This window comes from Homo sapiens, chromosome 6, assembly GCF_000001405.40.
Source record: "Homo sapiens chromosome 6, GRCh38.p14 Primary Assembly".
Classification (NCBI taxonomy): Eukaryota; Metazoa; Chordata; class Mammalia; order Primates; family Hominidae; genus Homo; species Homo sapiens.
Genome location: NC_000006.12, coordinates 117,052,271 through 117,073,784, shown reverse-complemented (window position 1 = coordinate 117,073,784; position 21,514 = coordinate 117,052,271). Strand labels below are relative to the sequence as shown.

At 36.9% G+C, this 21,514-nt stretch overlaps 1 pseudogene, besides 1 other annotated feature; it reads right to left on the bottom strand.

Moving 5' to 3' along the window:
• Positions 665-1,213: an enhancer, noted in NCBI's record as "OCT4-NANOG hESC enhancer chr6:117393735-117394283 (GRCh37/hg19 assembly coordinates)". NCBI's record gives its function as "activates a minimal SCP1, AML or CMV promoter by ChIP-STARR-seq in naive H9 embryonic stem cells {active_cell/tissue: H9 hESC(naive)}" and the evidence as "EXISTENCE:reporter gene assay evidence [ECO:0000049][PMID:30033119]".
• On the bottom strand, positions 12,986-13,103 carry RNA5SP214 (RNA, 5S ribosomal pseudogene 214; annotated as a pseudogene).

Below are 21,514 nucleotides of genomic sequence, written 5' to 3'. Positions count from 1 at the left end.
TTAGAATTATTGTAAAATTTTGATTTTACAGTATATGTGGAACACAATCTTTTTAGTGCTTTGATATCTCTAAGTGTCTTAATCTGACCCTGGTTAGCCAATGCCAGCCATGTTCTTTCCCTTGAGAATTTTTAAAGACTTAACAAAAATTGTAGTTAGTAGGATGATGGTGAGTCCTGATTTAAAAGACCACATTGAACTGAGGCCAGAGTTTGCTTCACAACAAGGTAATATTGCATGTCATCTGAAGTATGGGGAAGCAGAAACAGCCTTGAGAGGGGTCAACAGAAAACAGAACAGACAGACAGATGGACTGGAGAGGACCACACAGTGCCAGGAAGAGGGGAATGCAGACAGGAGGTGACTGGAGACATTCACACTTCCCTAAACCCAGACTGCAATGCCACAATTAAGTTCCATGAGATGCCCTTGTATCCTTCTAAAAGACTGCCTTTTTATGAGTTTCTTTCAGAGGATTTCTGTTTTGTAAAACCAAATAATTCTAAATGGTGACACCAAATAACTCCTTCCCCTATAACCAAAAAATGGCCACTCATTCCTACCCTAAAGATTTCTTAGGCAGAGAAGGTGTTGTTCTAGGTAGAAAGGAAAACACTAAGTGTATAAACATGTCATTAGCCTCAAGGAACTTACTGTTCAGTAGGATACAAAGGTCTGCACAAGCCAATTTAGTCTAGATGGTTTGTACAGAGACCTAAGAGGAGCCCAGAGAAGGAGTCACTTCTGACTGGTGTGACTGTAGAAGACTTCGAGAAGGAGGTTCCTTCTGGACAGAACCTTGAAGAATGGGTCCTCTCAGGGAAGGATCTTTCCTGCACTTCAATGTGCGACCAGCAACCCATCCTCTTCAGAGGGAATGCTCAGGCATTCAACCTCCCGCCGTGGCAGCCCTGAAGGGAGATCATGTTACTCCACCTTCCCAGGGCTTTATCTGCCTTTGACTTTGAAGCAAAAGGGAGAAAGGAACGATCAGGCCCTGGCAGGAAGGCCATGAGCATAGCAATTCATTTCTCAACCCCTACATCAAGTGCATTATCGGACAAGCATAATTTTACTTCTGAGGAAAAGAGGGTACAATAAATAAAACTGGGGTCAGAGAAAATTCAGGAGTGGGATAGAAAACAGACTGCATGGCTAGAGCAACAGGGAACCTACTTAGAAGAGATAATAGTGGGAAGGTTGGATGAGATCAGAGAATATATTTCCTTGAATGCCATACTGGCTTCTGGAAGGTGGTGGAAAGCCTCTGAGGTACTCTGAGTGGGGGATATCATAAAGTATTTGTCTGATCTCCCTGATTGCTGCCTCTGCCTAAAAAATACTTTTGTTTGTGTCTTTCTTGGACTGTTTAACACACACACTTCTCTGTTTAGTGATTATCTGTGTAGTAATCCTGGCCTATTCTGATTCGTTCCAGAGGATGAGTGAACATCTCTCAGTGTAGACTAAGTACCTGGCTCAGTGCCCGGCACATTGGTGGCTCCATGCCAACAGCAGGGAGCTTTCCTAGGTGAGTGGGCATGTGGATCACAGAAGAATTTGTACACATGGGTTACTAGTAAACCAGGTGTAGAAATGTGGGATTCTATAGCCCCATCAGATTAAGAATGACAATTACATGATGTGATGAATGCAACAGGGCTTTAATTCCGAAAGTCAATTTAATTTTTTGAAATAACTGTTCTCCATAGCTTCCTTACAAAAATGGGTACCCTTTGCACTTCTAGAATTTGGTAACATGTAAATACATAAGCTGCTTCAGTGCAAATAATAGGACAACTGACAAAACTATTTCTTAATACTGTGTTGCACAGTTAGGCATAAAAAATGTGCAAGTATAATGAAACTGATGACTTTTGTTCTAACCTTTTACATTATTCACTTTCTCTACTTTGCTTTTTAAAAATGTTATTTTTCTGTGATTACAATAATATTATATGTAGATCATTTGAAAACCCTCAAACCAATAAATCTCAATCTCACTACCCAGAGAAAACTATTTTAACATTATAGTTTATTTCTTATTTAAATTATTTTCCATTCATTTACTTGTTTATTGAATATTTTTGGAGTGTCTATCTCTATCCTGTGGCACTGTTCTAAGTACACAGAAACATCACAGAATGAAAAGGTAAAAATCCCTGCTTCTGTGGGGTTTACAGTCCAATAGGGAAAAAGCAATGGAAAAGATAAATTTATAAAATATATACGATGTTGAATCCTAAAATTCATATGGAACCAAAAAAGAGCCCACATAGCCAAAGCAAGACTAAGTGAAAACAACAAATCTGGAGGCATCATATTGCCCAACTTCAAGCAAAACTACAAGGCTATAGCTACCAAAGCAGCATGGTACTGGTATAAAAATAGGCATGTAGACAAATGGAACAGAATAGAGAACACAGAAATAAAACCAAATACTTACAGCCAACTGATCTTCAACAAAGCAAACAAAAACATAAAGTGGGGAAAAGACACCCTATTCAAAAAATGGTGCTGGGATAGTTGGCAAGCCACATTTAGAAGAATGAAACTGGATCCTAATTCTCATCATATAAAAAAATCAACTCAAGATGGATCAGAGACTTGAATCTAAGACTTGAAACCATAAAAATTCTAGAAGACAACATAGGAAAAATTTTTCTAGATCTTGGCTTAAGCGAAGACTTCATGACCAAGAACCCAGAAGCAAATGCAACAAAAGACAAAAATAACTAGATGGGACCTAATTAAACTAAAAAGCTTCTGCACAGCAAAAGAAATAATCAGCAGAGTAAACAGACAACCCATGGCATGAGAGAAAATCTTCACAAACTATGCATCTGACAAAGGACTAATATCCAAAATCTACAAGAAACTCAAACAAATCAGCAAGAAAAAGGCCAATAATCTCATTAAAAAGTGGGCAAAGGACTTGAATAGACAGTTATCAAAAGAAGATACACAAATGGCCAACAAACATGAAAAGATGCTCAACATCACTAATTGTCAGGGAAACGCAGATCAAAACCACAATGAGATACCACCTTACTCCTGCAAGAATAGCTCATATTAAATAATTTTTTAAAACATAGAAGTTGGCATGGATGTGGTGAAAAGGGAGCAGTTTTACACTGTTGATGGGAATGTAAACTAGTACAACCACTATGGAAAACAGGATGGAGATTCCTTAAAGAACTAAAAGTAAAACTACCATTTGATCTAGAAATCCCACTACTCGGTATCTACCCAGAGGAAAAGAAGTCATTATAAGGAAAATACACTTAAACATGCATGTTGACAGCAGCACAATTGGCAATTGCAAAAATATGGAACCAGCCTAAATGCCCATCAACCAAAAACTAGATAAAGAAAGTGTGGTGGCCGGGCACGGTGGCTCATGCCTGTAATCCCAGCACTTTGGGAGCCTAAGGCAGGCAGATCACGAGGTCAGGAGATCGAGACCATACTGGATAACATGGTGAAACTCCGTCTCTACTAAAAAATACAAAAAAAAAAAAAAAAAAATTAGCTGGGCGTGGTGGTGGGCACCTGTAGTCCCAGCTACTCGGGAGGCTGAAGCAGGAGAATGGCGGGAACCCAGGAGGCGGAGCTTGCAGTGAACTGAGATCAAGCCACGGGACTCCAGCCTGGGAGACAGAGCCAGACTCCATCTAAAAAAAAAAAAAAAAAGAAAAACAAAGAAAGTATAGTATATACATACCATGGAATACTACTCAGCCATAAAAAGGAATAAAATAATGGTATTCACAGCAACCTGGATGCAGTTGGAGACCATTATTCTAAGTGAAGGAACTCAGAAATGGAAAATCAAATATTGTATGTTCCCATTTACAAGTGGAAAGGTAAGCTGCGAGGACACAAAAGTATAAGAATGATATAATGGACTTTCGGGACTTGGAGGGAAGGGTGGAAGAGGTGAGGATAAAAGACTACACATTGTGTACAGTGTACACTGCTTGGGTGATGAATGCACCAAAATCTTGGAAATCACCACTGAAGAACTTATCCATGTAATCAGAAATCACCTGTTCCCCCAAAACAATTAAAATATATATATATATAATATATATATATATATATATTATATATATATATATATATATTTAAGACAGATACATATATTGAAGACCATATATTTGATAAAAATTGTACATAGAGTCACCAGGGAAGAAGTGACCAGAAAGAGTCACTGAGAAAATCATACACACACACACACACACACACACACACACACAGGACTTCATAGCAAAATTCAATTGATACTATATGTATTAGTTTCCTGCAGCTGTGGAGTAGCTTAAACAACTTTGAGAAATTTACTGTCTCACAGTTCTAGAGGTTCTAGAGGTTAGAAGCCCAAAATCAAGGTGTCTGTAAGGCTGGTTTCTTCTGAGGGCTGTTCTAGGTCTCTCCCTTAGCTCCTGGTGGTTTGCTCGCAGTCTTTGTGTTCCTTGGTGCAGAGAAGCATTGTCTTGATCTCTGCCTTCATAGGTTTCTTCCTGTGTGGGTATCTGCCTCCAGGTTCACCACCCCACTTTTTATTGAGACAGGATCTCACTCTGTTGACCAGAGTGCAGTGGCACAATCACGCCTCACTGCAGCTTGACCTCTCAAGCTCAAGTGATCCTCCCACCTCAGCCCCCTGAGTAGCTGGAACTGCAGGAGCACCCTACCATGCCTGGCTAATTTTTGTGTTTTTGTAGAGATTAGGTTTTGACATGTTGCCTAGGCTGGTCTCAAACTCCTGGGCTCAAGCCATCTACCCACCTCAGTTTCCCAAAATGCTGATATTACAGGCATGAGCCACCATGCCCACCCAGATTTCCCCTTTTTGTAAGTAAACTAGTCATATTGAATTAGTGGCCCACCCTACCCCAGTATCACATCATCTTAACCAATGACATTTACAACAACCTTATTTCCAAATAAGCTCACATTCGGAGGTTCTGAGGGTTAGGATGTCAATGTGAATTTTAGGGGACACAATTCAACCTATAATACAAATTGTATATGCAAATTATATATGCAAATTTGTATCAGGTTTTTTACATTTATTTTATATTGTGAAAATTTGCCAATACCACTAAGATTTCTTGAAAAAATGGCTATAATATAGGCATAACTTTATGTACTTCAGATATGTCACATTGACTCAATCTTTCATTCCTTAGTGTTTGACGTGAGATTGTTTCCAGTTTTTCACTCTCATATTTTTCTGTAATTTTTTATTCCATATTCTTCTCAGTGAGTGGCAGGCACAATGTCAGGTGTGGTTATCTATAAGTTGTAGACTTACACTGTGAAATTACAGTTTCTTTGTTTTTGGTTATCTGTACTTTAAACAAATACTTTTAAATGAAATATGTAATATTTTGTAATAAGAAAAATATACACCAAACTGATTTTAAAGCAAGCTTCATTGTTATCACTATTTCCTTTAGTACCAATTTATATTTAATTTTTTTTGAAAAGTAGATTTCCAATGCTTTATCCTTTTATAATCCGACTTTGGAGCTTATTAGTTTATTATAATTATTAGAGTTGTTTAGAGATCATGAGTTTATCTTCACACCAAGTTTGGGACTTGAGAAAATACAAATTGCACTGTTGGTCATGTTTAGATTTTTTTCTTTTGCTGATTTCCCCTTGTTTTGTTTTGTGTTTGCTTGCAATTATGGGTTGAGGATTTAAAGAAAACAAAATGTACACTAACTTTGAAGATTTTATTCATTTTTAAATAAATGAATTCTGTGTTTAGAAAAGAAATGTAATCCCTTTCAATCACATCTCTCTTTTGAGTCAATTCCACCCTTATTGCTGGTGTCAGGAGAAAACCTTGGAAGACAAAACACATAATTACCTAGTTAGCCTTGTCACATAACTCAGCTCTGCTTTACCTACAGAACCTCAAGGTAAAGCCTTTGTTTTTGTTACCATGGCCTAATTCAAGCTAAGAAGAAAACTGACTTTTAGAAGCAGCAGGGAAAGGATTAAGTTGCCAGGTTAGGTAACATATTCCTAAAGTCCCTGTGCTTTCAGTACAAAACAAAGGAACTCCACCAAGTCTTGGAATCATTCTATTCCTCAATGACTAGTGTCCTCTGTACAGCATTTATTTTTCACTTAAAATGTATCACTTTTCTATGGCAAATAATCTAGACCCTAGCCCCGCCCCCAAAGGCCAGACCTCTGCAAGACATATAAAGAAAATTCTGCTGTTTCTGCTGTACTTCTAAATAAAAAAATCTTACCATTTATTGTCTTTGTTCTTGGATTTATTTTATCAATACAATTTGAAATTCATGAAATTTTAATTGAGTATAATTTTCTGTCATTATTATATATTATTCTGCAAATAAGAAATAAGCTGGCATCTTTCAGTTACTTAGAGCAGAGGCCAGTAAACTCTTTTTGGAAATGACCTGAGGGCCTTACCTGTCCCTGGTGCAACTACTGGACTCTGCTGTTATAATGTGAAAACAGCCATAGATCACATTTAGACAAGTGGGCATGGGTTCCTTTATTTACAAAAATTTAAAACTTTATTTACAAAAATGTGCATCAAATCAAGAATAATAAAAATGACATTCAAAGGTACTCTACCCCAGACCCAACCTGCTTTTTCAGACTTATGGTTTCCCAGAAAAAATCTTTTTTTTTTCAAACATACAAACTTGCTTGTTGTCTACTGAATCAACTTTTCAACTGCTGCACCACTGTCTTTCCTAGAATGTCAGTTTTCTCTTAGACTGGGTAAATTCTCCTTCCTTTTAGAAGACTTCCTGGCCTCATGGTGCCCACACGTAAGGAGGCACTCACTCTAGCATCCTACAGATGCAGGGTTGGTACTTGCAGACCCTGAGAGTGAGCTCCTCTTTAAACTCTGTGCCCTAAGCACCTCCCTTGCCTCACCTTAGTGCTGGCTTTGGGCTTTGATTATCTTCTCACTTCTTTGCCATTTCCTCTTTAGAGGTAAGTAGGAGGCTTTCCTTACATGGGAGCAAGGGTGATTTCCCATTTGCTTCCAATACCTTTCCAGTGTTTTATAGCATTTGGTGGGCAGCTTTGACTGCAGGAGTAGAGTGAGCCAGTGTGTGCGACTTTGGCTTACAAAGCTTGTGAATTCCTTTTTTTGTGTCAGATACTCTCATGTTGTTAGTCTGATTCAATTTTTAAGTTACCCACATACATTTGCTTGACTCTGTTATGCCACCTAACCCATTTTTGTCAGAGTTCTCTGTAGTTTATTCCTATTGATCACATATTTCAACATTGGGAAAATAAAATATTAATAGCTAATGGTAATTTATATGATCCAGCAATCCCACTCCTAGGTAGATACCCAAAAGAAAGGAAATCAGTACGTTAAAGAGATATCTGCACTCCCATGTTTGTTGCAGCATTATTCACAATAGCCAAGATTTGGAAGCAACCTAAGTGTCTATAAACAGATGAATGGATAAAGAAAATGTGATACATCAACACAATGAGTACTATTCGGTCATAAAGAAGAATTAGATCCCATCATTTGCAACAACATGGATGGAACTGAAGGTCATTATGTTAAGTGAAATAAGATAGGCACAGAAAGAGAAACTTCACATGTTCTCACTTATTTGTGGGAAATAACCATTAAAATAATTGAACTCATGGAGATAGAGAGTAGAAGGATGGTAACCAGAGGTTAGGAAGGGTAGTGGGGGATTGGTGGGAAGGAAGTGATGGATGGTTAATGGGTACAAAAAAATAGTTAGGAAGAATGAATAAGACCTAGTATTTGCTAGCACAACAGGATGACTATAGTAAACAAAGATTTAATTGTACATTTTAAAATAAATAAAAGACTATAATTGGATTGTTTTTAACATAAAAGATAAATACTTGAGATGATGGATATACCATTTATCGTAATGTGAATATTATGCATTCCATGCCTATATCGAAATATCTCATGTGACCCATAAAGATATACACCAACTATGTACCCAAAAAATTAAAACTAAAAAAAGAAAATTAAAAAAAAGAGCAAATGGCTTTTGTGAGCTGGATACAGTGCTAAGCACTTTACTTAAATTATCTCATTGTATAAATACTTAAATACTTATAGCAACCCTCTGAAGTAGATAATAGTTATGCCACTTTACAAATAAGAAAGTGAGTTCTAGAAAACTTAGGTAACTTTCTCATGTTCAAAAAGCAATAACTGGTTAAATTGGGATTTAAACTAGGTCATATGATCTCAGTTTCTGAGTTGTTAAATAAGAGATTTTATTGGTGAATCAGGAAGATTATTTGGCTCATTAATTTTCTTTTTAGGAATCTTTTCTTCAAATAAATGCTTGGGCAAAACCCCAATATGTAAATTGAATAAAAATAGAGTGCTTTATTTTGAAATGTGTGGGGGGAGGGAGGGGGTGGCGGGGATGGAAGTTACAGTTTAGAGTCAGATCTAATTAAATCTTCTTTACCAGTTCCCTCTTGTTATAGGTTGAATTATGTACCTTTCCCCTGAAAAGATATCTTGAAGTCCTGACTCCCAGTACCTCAGAATGTGACCGTATGTGAAAGGAGGTTTACTATGGATGTAATTGAAGTGAGGTCCTACTGAAGCAGGGTGAGCCCCTAACCCAATTTGACTAGTGTCCTTATAAAGAAGTTGATGGAAAGAGAGAAAGACACATAGGGAAAACACCGTATGATGATGAAAGCAGAGACTGGAGTAGGCAGCTGCAAGCCGAGGAATGCCAAAGATTGATAGCAAATCACTGTCAATAGAAGGAGGCAAGGAAGGATTTCCCTACAGGTTTCAACAGGAGCATGGTCTTGCCAATACCTTGATTTGGGACTTTTAGCCTTCTGAACTGTGAAGAAAACAATGACAGTTGTTTTAAGCCACCCAGTTTGTGGTAGTTTGATAAGGCAGTCCTAAGTAACTAATACATCCTCTCATGGGGCCTCTGAGGGTTAACATGCAACTCAATAAGTATGAATAGCTACCGTGAGGACAGGATGTATGAGAAAGTTCTACATAAAAGTTTGATTTTAAAGGAAGGCAAGTCATAAGGAGGAAGTGTTGAAATGTCTGTTCAACAGTAGTAAACTACATAGGACTCTAACACGGATGAGTTAGATGACAGTAGGAATCAAGTAAATTTATATGGCTAACTTATATACCAGAGTTGCCATGGCAGATGATGGAAAAGGGATAAAAGGCTCAGAGAAGTGGACAGGTAAGGTGGACACACCATGTAAGTTCAGGGGAAAAAAGAGTGATCACATTCTGTGGGAGAGCACAGAGAACATGGTTTATCAAAGCAGGAGGGCTGCACAGGTGAAAAAGGAACAGGCATCATTGAGAGCTTGATGGTGCTCTACTTGGAGGACAGGGCTGATGGCAGGAGACACTGGGCTCACTAATAATAATGGAAAGATGGGATCCCAAAATAGTAGTGACAGGGAGGCAGGACTTAACTTTCAAGAGCAAGGCAGGCATAATGAGCAGCAGTCAGAATAGTAGTGGATTTGTCTGCTCAAGCTGCTGTCACAAAATATCACAGGCTGTGGGGCTTAAACAACAGAAATGTATTTCCTCACAGTTCTGGAGGCTAGAAGTCCATGATCAAGGAGCCAACAAATTCAGTGTCTGGTGAGGGCTTTCTTCCTGCTTGCAGATAGCCACCTTCTCACTGTGTCTTCACATGGCCTTTCCTCTATGTGCACATGGGGTAGGGGGTGGAGAGATCTCTGGTATCTCTTCCTTTTTAAGAGGACACTAACTATTAGGTTAGAGCCCCCACCTTTATGAAATAATTCAACTTTAGTTACTACCCAAAAGTCCTATCTTCAAATACAGTCACATTGTGGATTAAGCCTTCTACCTATGAATATGGGGGGCACAAGTCATGTCATTTAGTATATACAATAGAGCACAGCCAGGTAGCTTACAGGATATAACACATAGCTAGAGGGACCTAAATTGAAAAGAGCTACAGAGATAGTTGATAGAACACGGTGTCACTGAAGGAAAGATAGATGGGTAGCCAAACACTGATATTGTTCAATCTACAGAACCAAAAGAAAACAAGGATCAGTTCCTGGGAACATGGTACTGCATATCCAGTTGATTTTTCAACCAACCTTCAGAGGACGAAGGGGAAGTTTTCCTTTGGCCGTCACAGTTTTGGCACAGTAAGCAGGATACCAAAACTCTGCTTTTCTGGAAATTATAGTCGATAGAACCCTAGGACCTGACAAGGCAGCACAAAGGGCCACTATCACACTGATACCAACACAAGACAAAAGAGTACAAATGCTCAGTCCATCACAGCCACTGCCAACACCACCATGGACCACATGGGAACCAGAGGGTTGTCCTGCCATTGTCCATGCCACACCTACTTCCCAGAGACCTGAAGACCTGCCCACCCACCTGGCCCACCACTGCCACAGTTAGTACCCAAGCAAGCCACCTGGAGGTTCAATAATTGGCCTATCTGGATGTGCTAACAATGGTGCTGGTGCATACCACCCTGGGGTCAAAGGATAAGCATGCTTGGCCTATTGCTGTCACCACTGGGGCCTGAGGACTGGTTCATCTGACATCCCTCTCCCCAGAAAAACTTTACCACAGCCTGCACTCACAACTGCACCCTAACCTACTGAGGCAATCACAGACAACACAGACACTGTTTACAGCCAAAGAAATTATCCAAGAACTATACTACTACTACGCACACTCAGAATCAAAGCCAAAGTGCCCTACCTAACCAACACTATAAATATATCTCCAGAAGAAAGTCCTCCCCTATGAAAGCAAATCCAAAAATCTACAAAAAGCAACTACTACACCCAATGCACATATATCAATATAAGGGCACAGAAACATGAAAAAAACAAGGAAACATGACACCTCCAAAGAAACACAATAATTCTCTAGCAAAAGATTCCAATGGAAAAAATTTTTGAAATGCCAGAAAAATAATTCAAAATAATGATATTAAAGAAGCCCAATGAGATAAAAGAGAACACAGATAAGTAATATAAAGAATCAGAAAAACATATCAGGGTATAAATGAGAAATTTACCAAAGAGATACATATAAAAAAAGAATCAAATGGAAATTATTCTGAAACTGAATAATTCATTGAATGAAATAAAAAATACATAAAAGAGCTTCAACAGTAGACTAGGTCAAGTAGAAGAAAGACTCTCAGAACTTGAAGATGGCCTTTTGAAATAACCCAGTTAGACAAAAATAAAGAAAAAAGAACAATAAAAAAATTAACAAAGCTTACATGACATATGGAATACCACAATATGGTGAAATGTTTAACTATTTGGTGTTCCAGAAGGCAAAGAGAAAACCAATGAGATAGAAAACCTATATAATAAAATAATAGCCAAAAACTTCCCAGGTCTGGCAAGAGAGTTAGACATATAGCATACCGATACAGGGAACTCAGAGATCCCCAAATACATACAACCCAAAAATGTCTTCTCCATGGCACGTTATGGTTAAAATATCAAAAGTCAAAACAGATATTTTTAAAAAACAGCAAGAGAAAAGCATCTAGTCAATTATAAGGGAACCTCCATCTGACTAATAGCAAATCTCTTAGCAGAAACCTTATGGGCCAGAAGAGAATAGAACAATATATACAAAGTGCTGAAAGAAAAAAGCCCTGCTAATCTAGGATACTATAACTAAAATTATCCTTCATAAATGAAGGAGAAATAAAGTATTTCCAAGATGATCAAAAGCTGAGGGAATTTATCACTAGATGTGCCCTATAAGAAATGCAGAAGGGAGTCCTACACCTGGAAGCAAAAGGACAATATCATCATAAAAACATGAAAGAATAAGACCCACTGGTAGAACAAACACACAAATAGGTAAAAGTCCAAATGTTACCACTACAGAAAACCACCAAACCACAATGATAAACAATAAGAGAGAAAGAAAGAAACAAAGGGTATGTAAAACAATGATACCATCATAAAAACACATGAAAATATGAAACCTACTGGTAGAGTAAACAAGCAAATAAGAAAGAGAAAGAACTAAAATATTACCTCTACAGAAAACCATCAAACTAAAATGAAAAAAATAAGAGAGAAAGAAAAAACAAAGGGAACACACACAGACACAGAAAACAAGTAACAAAAGAATAGGAATAAGTCCTTACATTTCAATAACCTTGAACATAAATAGATTGAACTTTCCACTCGAAAGGTATAGACTGGCTGAATGGATTTTAAAAAAAGCACAACCCAACTCTATGCTGCCTACAAGAAACTTTACCTCACCTGTAAAGACGCACATAGATGGCAAGAAAAGAAATGGAAAAAAAATATTCCATGTAAACAGAAACAAAAAGCAAACAGGAATAGCTGTACTTATGTAAGATAAAACAAGAGAATATAATAATAATATCTACATATATAGAATAAAGAATTGGGTACACATATATACATATATATGTATGTAGGGTGAGATGATAAATAGATGAAAGAAAGAAAGAAAGAGAAAGAAAGAGAGAAAGAAAAAGAAAGATTTGGGTGTCTTTGTGTGTTTATACACTGAACATCAGATCACCCAGATGTATAAAACAAATATTATCAGATTTAAAGGGAGAGATAACTCTAATACAATAGATGGACCTATAACGTATACAGGACATTTCATTTAACAACTGCAGAATACACATTCTTTTTACCAGCACATGGTACATTCTTCAGGGTAGACCATATGTTAGGCCACAAAACAAGTCTCAATCAGTTTTTAAAAATCCAAATTATATCAAGTATCTTCTCAAACCACAGTGGAATGAAACTAGAAATCAATATTAAAAAGAACTTTGGAAACTATACAAATACATGAAAATTTTACAATATGTTCCGGAATGACCATTAGGTAAATTAAATAATTAGGAAGCAAGTAAAAAAATTCTTAAAACAAATGAAATACAGCACCCGGTATTCCCAGGTGGTCTTTCAGCCAAGTTCTAACCAGGCCCAACCCTGCTTAGCTTCTGAGATCAGAAGAAATCGGCTGCATTTAGGGTGGTATGGTTGATAAGAGCTATTTATGACAAACCCATAGCCAATATCATACTGAATGGGCAAAAGCTGGAAGCATTCCTTTGAAAACTGGCACAAGACAAGGATGCCCTCTCTCACCACTTCTATTCAACATAGTATTGGAAGTTCTGGCCAGGGCAATCAGGCAAAAGAAAGAAATAAACGGTATTCAAATAGGAAAAGAGAAGTTCAATTGTCTCTGTTTGCAGATGACATGATTGTATATTTAGAAAACCCCATCATCTCAGCCCAAAATCTCCTTAAGCTGATAAGAAACCTCAGCAAAGTCTCAGGATACCAAATCAATGTGCAAAAATCACAAGCATTCCTATACACCAATCACAGACAAACAGAGAGCCTAATCATGAGTGAACTCCCATTCACAATTGCTACTAAGAGAATAAAATAACTAGAAATACAACTTACAAGGGATGTGAAGAACCTCTTTGAGGCGAACTACAAACCACTGCTCAAGAAAATAAGAGAGGACACAAACAAATGGAAAAACATTCCATGCTCATGGATAGGAAGAATCAATATCATGAAAATGGCCATACTGCCCAAAGTAATTTATAGATTCAATGCAATCCCCATCAAGCTACCATTGACTTTCTTCACTGAATTGGAAAAAAACTACTTTAATCTTCATGTGGAACCAGAAAAGAGCCCACATAGCCAAAACAATTCTAAGCAAAAAGAACAAAGCTGGAGGCATCACGCCACCTGACTTCAAACTAGACTACAAGGCTACAGCAACCAAAACAGCATGGTAGTGGTACCAAAACAGATATATAGACCAATGGAACAGAACAGAGGCCTCAGAGATAACACCACACATCTACAACCATCTGATCTTTGACAAACCTGACACAAAGAAGCAATGGGGAAAGGATTCCCTATTGAATAAATGGTGTTGGGAAAACTGGCTAGCCACATGCAGAAAACTGAAACTGGACCCCTTCCTTACACCTTATACAAAAATTAACTCAAGAAGGATTACAGACTTAAATGTAAGACCTAAAACCATAAAAACCCCAGAAGAAAACCTAGGCAATACCATTCAGGACATAGGCATGGGCAAAGACTTCATGACTAAAGCACTAAAAGCAATTGCAACAAAAGCCAAAATTGACAAATGGGAACTAATTAAAGAGCTTCTGCACAGCAAAAGAAACTCTCATCAGAGTGAACAGGCAACCTGCAGAATGGGAGAAAATTTTTGCAATCTATCCATCTGACAAAAGGCTAATATCCAGAATCTACAAGGAACATAAACAAATTTACAAGAAAAAAACAAACAACACCATCAAAAAGTGGGGAAAGGATATGAACAGACATTTCTCAAAAGAAGACATTTATGCAGGCAACAAACATATGAAAAATGCTCATCATCACTGTCATTAGAGAAATGTAAATCAAAACCACAATGAGATACCATCTCATGCCAGTTAGAATGGCCATCATTAAAATGTCAGGAAACAACAGATGCTGGAGAGGATGTGGAGAAATAGGAATGCCTTTACACTGTTGGAGGGAGTCCAAATTAGTTCGACCATTGTGGAAGACAATGTGGTGATTCCTCAAGGATCTACAGCTAGAAATACCATTTGACCCAGCAATCCCATTACTGGGTATATACCTAAAGGATTATAAATCATTCTACTATAAAGACACATGCACACATATGTTTTTTGCAGCACTATTCACAATAGCAAAGACTTGGAACCAACCCAAATGCCCACCAATGATAGATTGGATAAAGAAAATGTGGCATGTATGCACCATGGAATACTATGCAGCCATAAAAAAGGATGAGTTCATGTCCTTTGCAGGGACATGGATGAAGCTGGAAACCATTATTCTCAGCAAACTACCACAAGAACAGAAAACCAAACTCCACAACCAAACACCGCATGATCTCACTCGTAAGTGGGACTTGAACAGTGAGAACACATGGACACAGGGAGGGGAACATCACACACTGGGGCCTGTTGTGGGGTGGGGGGTTAGGGGAAGGATAGCATTAAGGGAAATACCTAATGTAGGTGACAGATTGATGGGTGCAGCAAACCACTGTGGTATGTGTATACCTATGTAACAAACCTGCAGGTTCTGCACATGTACCCAGACCTTAAGGCATAATAATAATTAAAAAAAAAACAAAATGAAAACACTACATACCAAAAACTATAAGATTCAGCAAAAGCTGCGAAAAGAGGAAAGTTTATAGCAATGAAACCCACATCAAAAAGTAGAAAGGTTTCAAATAAATAATCTAACATTGCATTTAAAAGAAACTGGAAAAGCAAAAACAAACCAAGTTGAAATTAGTAAAGAAAAAAATGCAGGTCCGAGTAGAACTAAACAGAATGGAAACTAAGAGAAAAATACAATGGATAAGTGAAATGAAAATTTGGTGTGTTGAAAAGTTGAAGAAAATCAATAAATCACTTGCTAGACTAACCAAGAAAAAGGAGAGAAGATTCAAGTAAACAAAATTAGAAATGAACAAGGAGACATTACAACTGACATCACGGAAATACAAAAGATCATCAGAGAACACTATAAACAATTATAGAATAACAAGCTGGAAAATCTAGAGGAAATAAATAAATTCCTCGGCACATAAGATATACCAAGATTGAATTAGGAAGAAATAGGAAGCCTGAACAGATCAACAATGAGTAAAGAGGTTGAGTCAGCAACAAAAATCTTCCAACAAGGAAAAGTCCAGGACCAGATGGCTTCACTGCCAAATTCGACTAAACTTTCAAAAAAGAATAAACACCAATTCTCCTTAAACTATCCCAAATAATCACAGAGGAGCAGAGGAGGAAGTTCTCTCTAACTCATTCTACCAGGCCAGCATTACCCTGATACCAAAACCAGATAAGGACACAATAAAAAAAAGAAAACTACAGGCCAATATCTCTAATTAACATAGATGCAAAAATTCTCAACAGAATGCTAACAAACAAAATCCAATGGCACATCAAAAAGATAATATGCCATGATTATGCAGGATTTATCCCAGACATTCAAGGAGATTCAACATACAAAAATCAATAAATGTAACATATCATATCAATATAATAAAAGAAAAACCCATTTGATCATCCAATAGACACAGAAAAAGTATTTGATAAAAAATGACATTATGATAAAAGCTCTCATCAAACTAGGCATAGAAGCAATATACCTCAACATAAGAAAAATCATAGATGAAAAACCAACAGCCAACATCCTACTCAATGGGGAAAAGCTGAAAGCCTTTTCTCTAAGAACTGGAACAAGACAAGGATGCCCATTTTCATCACTCCTATTCAACAAAGAACTAGAACTTCTAGCCGGAGCAGTTGGGCAAAAGAAAAAAATAAAATGTACCCTAACTGGAAAAGAGAAAGTCAAATTGTCCATCTTTGCTGATAATATGATCATATATCTAGAAAACCTACAGATTCCACTAAAAAAAAACTCTTAAACCTGATAAATTAATTCAGTAAAATTTCAGGATACAATATCAACATACAAAAATAGAAATGTTCCTATACACTAATAATGAACTATTTGAAAAAGAAATCAAGGAGGCAATCTGGTTTACAATAGCTACAGAAAAAAAACCCTAAGAATAAATTTAACTAAGGAGGTGAAATTCCCCTGTAAAGAACATTATAAAACACTGATGAAAGAACTTGAAGAATGCCAAAACAAACAAACAGATATCGCATACTTATGATCAGAAGAATTTATATTGTTTAAATGAACATACTACACAAAGCAATCTACAGATTCAATGCAATCCCTATGAAAGTACCAGTGCCATTTTTCACAGAAGTGGAAAAAGCAATCCCAAAATTCTTATGGAACAAAAAAGAGCCAGAATAGACAATGCAATTCTGAACAAAGAATAAAAGATAGAGGCATTACACTACTTGACTTCAAAATATATTACAAGGCTATAGTAACCAAAACAACATGTTATTGGTATAAAAACAGACATATAGACCAATGGCACAGAATAGAGAACCCAGAAATAAATCTACATTGTTAAAGCCAGCTAATTTTTGACAAAGGTATCAAGAATATGCATTGGGGAAAGGATACCTTCTTCAACAGATAGTACTGGGAAAACTGGATATCCATATGCAGAAGAATGAAGCTGGACCCCTATCTCTAACCATATACAAAATCAACTCAAGATGGATTAAAGACTTAAATATAAGACCCTAAACTATAAAACTACTAGAAGAAAACATAGGAAAAATACCTTGGAACATTGGTGTGGGCAAAGATTATATGGTTAAAACCTTAGAAACACAGACAACAAAAAAAAACTAGACAAACGGAACTATATTAAACTAAAAACCTTCTGTATAGCAAAAGAAACAATCAACAGAGTGAAGAGATAACCTGTTAAATAGGAGAAAATATTTGCAAAACTATGCATGTGATAGGAGACTAATATCCAGAGTATACAAGGAACTCAAACAACTCAGCAGTAAGAAAAAAATAATAATCCTATTAAAAACTAGACAAAGAACATAAATAGGCATTTTTCAAAAGAAGACATACAAATGGTCAACAGGTATATGAAAAAGAACTAAATCATGGCATTTGCAGCAACATAGATGGTACTGGAAGTCATTATGTTAAGCATAATAAACCAGGCACAACATCACTAATGTTTAACTCACCAATCATCAAAAAAATGCAAATCAAAACGACAAAGAGATATCATTTAATCAGTTAGAATGACTATTATTAAAAAGACAAAAAAAAACAGATTATGGCAAAAATGCAGAGAAAAGGGAAGACTTATATACTATTGATTGGAATGTACATTAATCCAGGTCCTATGGAAAACAGAATAAAGATTTCTCTAAAAACTAAAAGTAAAACTACATATGATTCAGCATTCCTACTACTGGGTATTTATCCAAGGGGAATACAGTCAGTATATCAAAGAGATACCCACACTTGCATGTTTATTACAGCATATTCACAATAGCAAGGATATGGAACAACCTAAGTGTCCATCAATGAGTAAATGAAAAAGAAAATATGGTATGTATACAAAATGGAATACTATTCAGCCATAAAAAAGAATACAATCACATCATTTGTAGTAACATGGAGGGTACAAGAGATTGTTATGTTAAATGTAATAAGCCAGACACAGAAAGATAAATATTGCATGTTCGCACTCATATGTGGAAGCTTAAAATGTGGATATCATAAAAGTAGAGAGTAGAATGATAGACATCAGAGGCTGGGAAGGATGTGTGGGTGGGTAGGGGGTGGAGTGAATGAAGAGAAGTTGGTTAATGGGTGCAAACATACAATTAGAAGGAATAAGTTATAATGTTCAGTAGCAGAGTAGGGTGACAGTGGTCAACAACAATGTATTGTATATTTCAAAATAGCTAGAAGAGAAGATTTTCAATGTTCCCCACACATAGAAATGATACATACTCAAAGGGATGAATACTCTGAATACCCTGACCCCTTACCTAATCATTACACGTCCATACATGGAACAAAATAGCACGTGTACTCCATGAATATGTACAAAAATTAGGTATCAATTTTTAAAAGTACAATAAAAAAAGAAATCAAGGATCAGGAAACTAAGGGCCGCTACCCAAATTAAAAGTAACAATTCATTGCTCTGAACTTTAGTCATTTTTCAGATCCAGAACCCATTGATTAAAAGAGAGGTAAGACCAATGTCAAGAAGTGTATTTCCTAGATTAGCTTCTAACATTTTCATAGTTTGAACTCTTACATTTAAATCTTTAATTTATCTTGGGTTAATTTTTGTATATGGTGAAAGGTAGGTGTCCAATTTTATTCTTCTGCATAGGGCTAGCCAGTTATCCCAGCACCATTTATTAAATAAGGAGTTATTTCCTTTTTGCTTGTTTTTGTTGGCCTTGGCAAAGAATTTTTAGCTAAGTCCCCAAAAGCAATTGCAACACCAAAAAAAATATGTTATGGACCTATGTGATGTAATTAATTAAACTGAAGAGCTTTTGCACAGCAAAAGAAACTATTAAGAGAATAAACAGACAATTTACAGAATGGGAGAAAATATTACAAACAATTCATTCAGCAAAGGTATAATATCCAGAATATATAAGGAACTTAAACAAATCAACAAGCAAAAACCAAATAACCTCATTATAATATGAGCAAATGACATGAACGGACACTTCTCAAAAGACGACATATAATCAGCCAACAAACATATGAAAACATGCTCAACATCACTAATCATCAGAGAAATGCAAATCGAAACCACAATGAGATACCATCTCACATCAGTGAGAATGGCTATCATTAACAAGTCAAAAATAACAGATGTTAATGAGGCTGTGGAGAAAAGGGAATGCTTATAACACTGTTGGTGGGAATGTAAATTAGTTCAGCCACCATGGAAAGAAGTTTAGAGATTCTCAAATAACTTGAAACAGAGCTACCATTCAACCCAGCAATACCATTACTGGGTGTATTCTCAAAGGAAAATAAATTGTTCTAGCAAAAAGACATGCACTTGTATGTTAATCACAGCACTATTCACAATAGTAAAGACATGGAATCCACCTACATGCTCATCAATGGTGGACTGGATAAGAAAATGTGATACATATACACTATGGAATACTATGCAGCCATAAAAAAGAATGAAATGTCCTTTGCAGGAACATGGATGCAGCTGGAGGCCATTATCCTAAGTGAATTAATGCAGGAACAGAAAATTAAATACTGTATGTTCTCATTTATAAGTGGGAGCTAAACTTTGAATACACATGGACATAAATATGGGAGCAGCAGACACTGGGGACTACAAGAGAAGGGAGGAAGGGAAGGGAGTGTAGGTCGAAAAACTACCATTTGGGTACTATGCTCACTACTTGAGTCATTGGATCTGTACCCCAAACCTTAGCATCACACAATATATTCATGTAACAAACTTGCACATGTATTCCCTGAATCTAAAATAAAAGTTGTATTATGAATAAAATAGACATTATAATCACTGAAAAAATACAAAATAAAAGAGAGACAAAGAGATCCTGGAGGATGACTATGACAAACTCACAGTTAGCAGCTCCAATTGCACCTGTTGTGTGAGATGTAGTGTCTTTGCTAAAGAAAATTAATGTGACTTCAGAATATGAAATGCAGTCATGGATGTGCTTTAAAAGTATTCTTTTCTATCCATATAAAAAATGAGGATTAGAAACATTTTGCATTCATTAGGAATGCAAAAAAGTAGATGCTTACAAGCTTGCCCAAGAACTTTGTTAATTCTCTTTCTCTCTGTCGTAATGTAGTCCAAAGACACCTGGACCATCGACTATATCAATGATATCATGGCTAATTTGACCAAATACACAAGAAGTGGCAAGTTCTTTGGACTCCTTAGTAAGACATATGTACTCCTGAGTTGGGAAATATCCTCCAAAATTTCAGAAATGTGAAACATCATCAGTGAAATTTATAGAGAGCCAGTGGTCTAGTAAAAGTTGAATATCCTTTTCAAAAGAAAGGAATTATTTCCCTCTCCCATCTCCCTCCACAAAGTAGGATGCACAATTACATATTTTTCACCTTTGGCTTTTGAAAACAATATTTCATACCTAGGAATACTGCTCTGGTCAATACACTGAATTGACATGAAAAGCTGCCAGCTTCACTTTGAGTAGGGTCTACTGCAGGAAAGCCTTCTGAAGAAAGTCAGTCCTGTTGTATAAGCAGTCCTGATAGATGGTACATGCACAGCCTGTGGCAATGGCAGACTCTGTGGTGAGAAATGACACTGCATGAAGTGTCTCTTCCAATAGAAGTCTCAATAGAAGAATTGCCATGTAGATGTTATTAACATGCTATTTACAAGCCCCAACAGAAGAATTGTCATGTAGTTGTCTAGGATCCAGAGTAGGACAATGCCTTCCACGGCAGAGGATTATATATCATTCACAAAACAGCTCCCTAGTAGAGACAAGGAGCACAACTGTCTACCATGAGCCGTGTTATGTCAGTTTCACCAAGTCATAGGGTTAAATGGGCCCTGTAGTAGTCCATCATAAGATGGGAGTGGTATATCTGGGACTGGGTAAAAGCAAGAGTGGGAAGCACAAGAAAGCAGCATGAGCAGATGATCCAGAGACCTGTGTCATCTACCAGTACCTGTTGTTCGATTCACATCTATGGCCTCATGGGTTATATACGGGGGCACCCATTATGGCTGCCTGATGGAGGGGGCAAATGGGTTGATTAAGAGAAGGGTTGGCATGATATATGGGCTAAGCCAAAAATGTCTCACTCAAGGGTAGCTTTGATATGAAGTAGAGAGAATAAGCCCTCTCAATGGGCAAGTCTTTCCCCTTTGTGTGGTTAGAATATG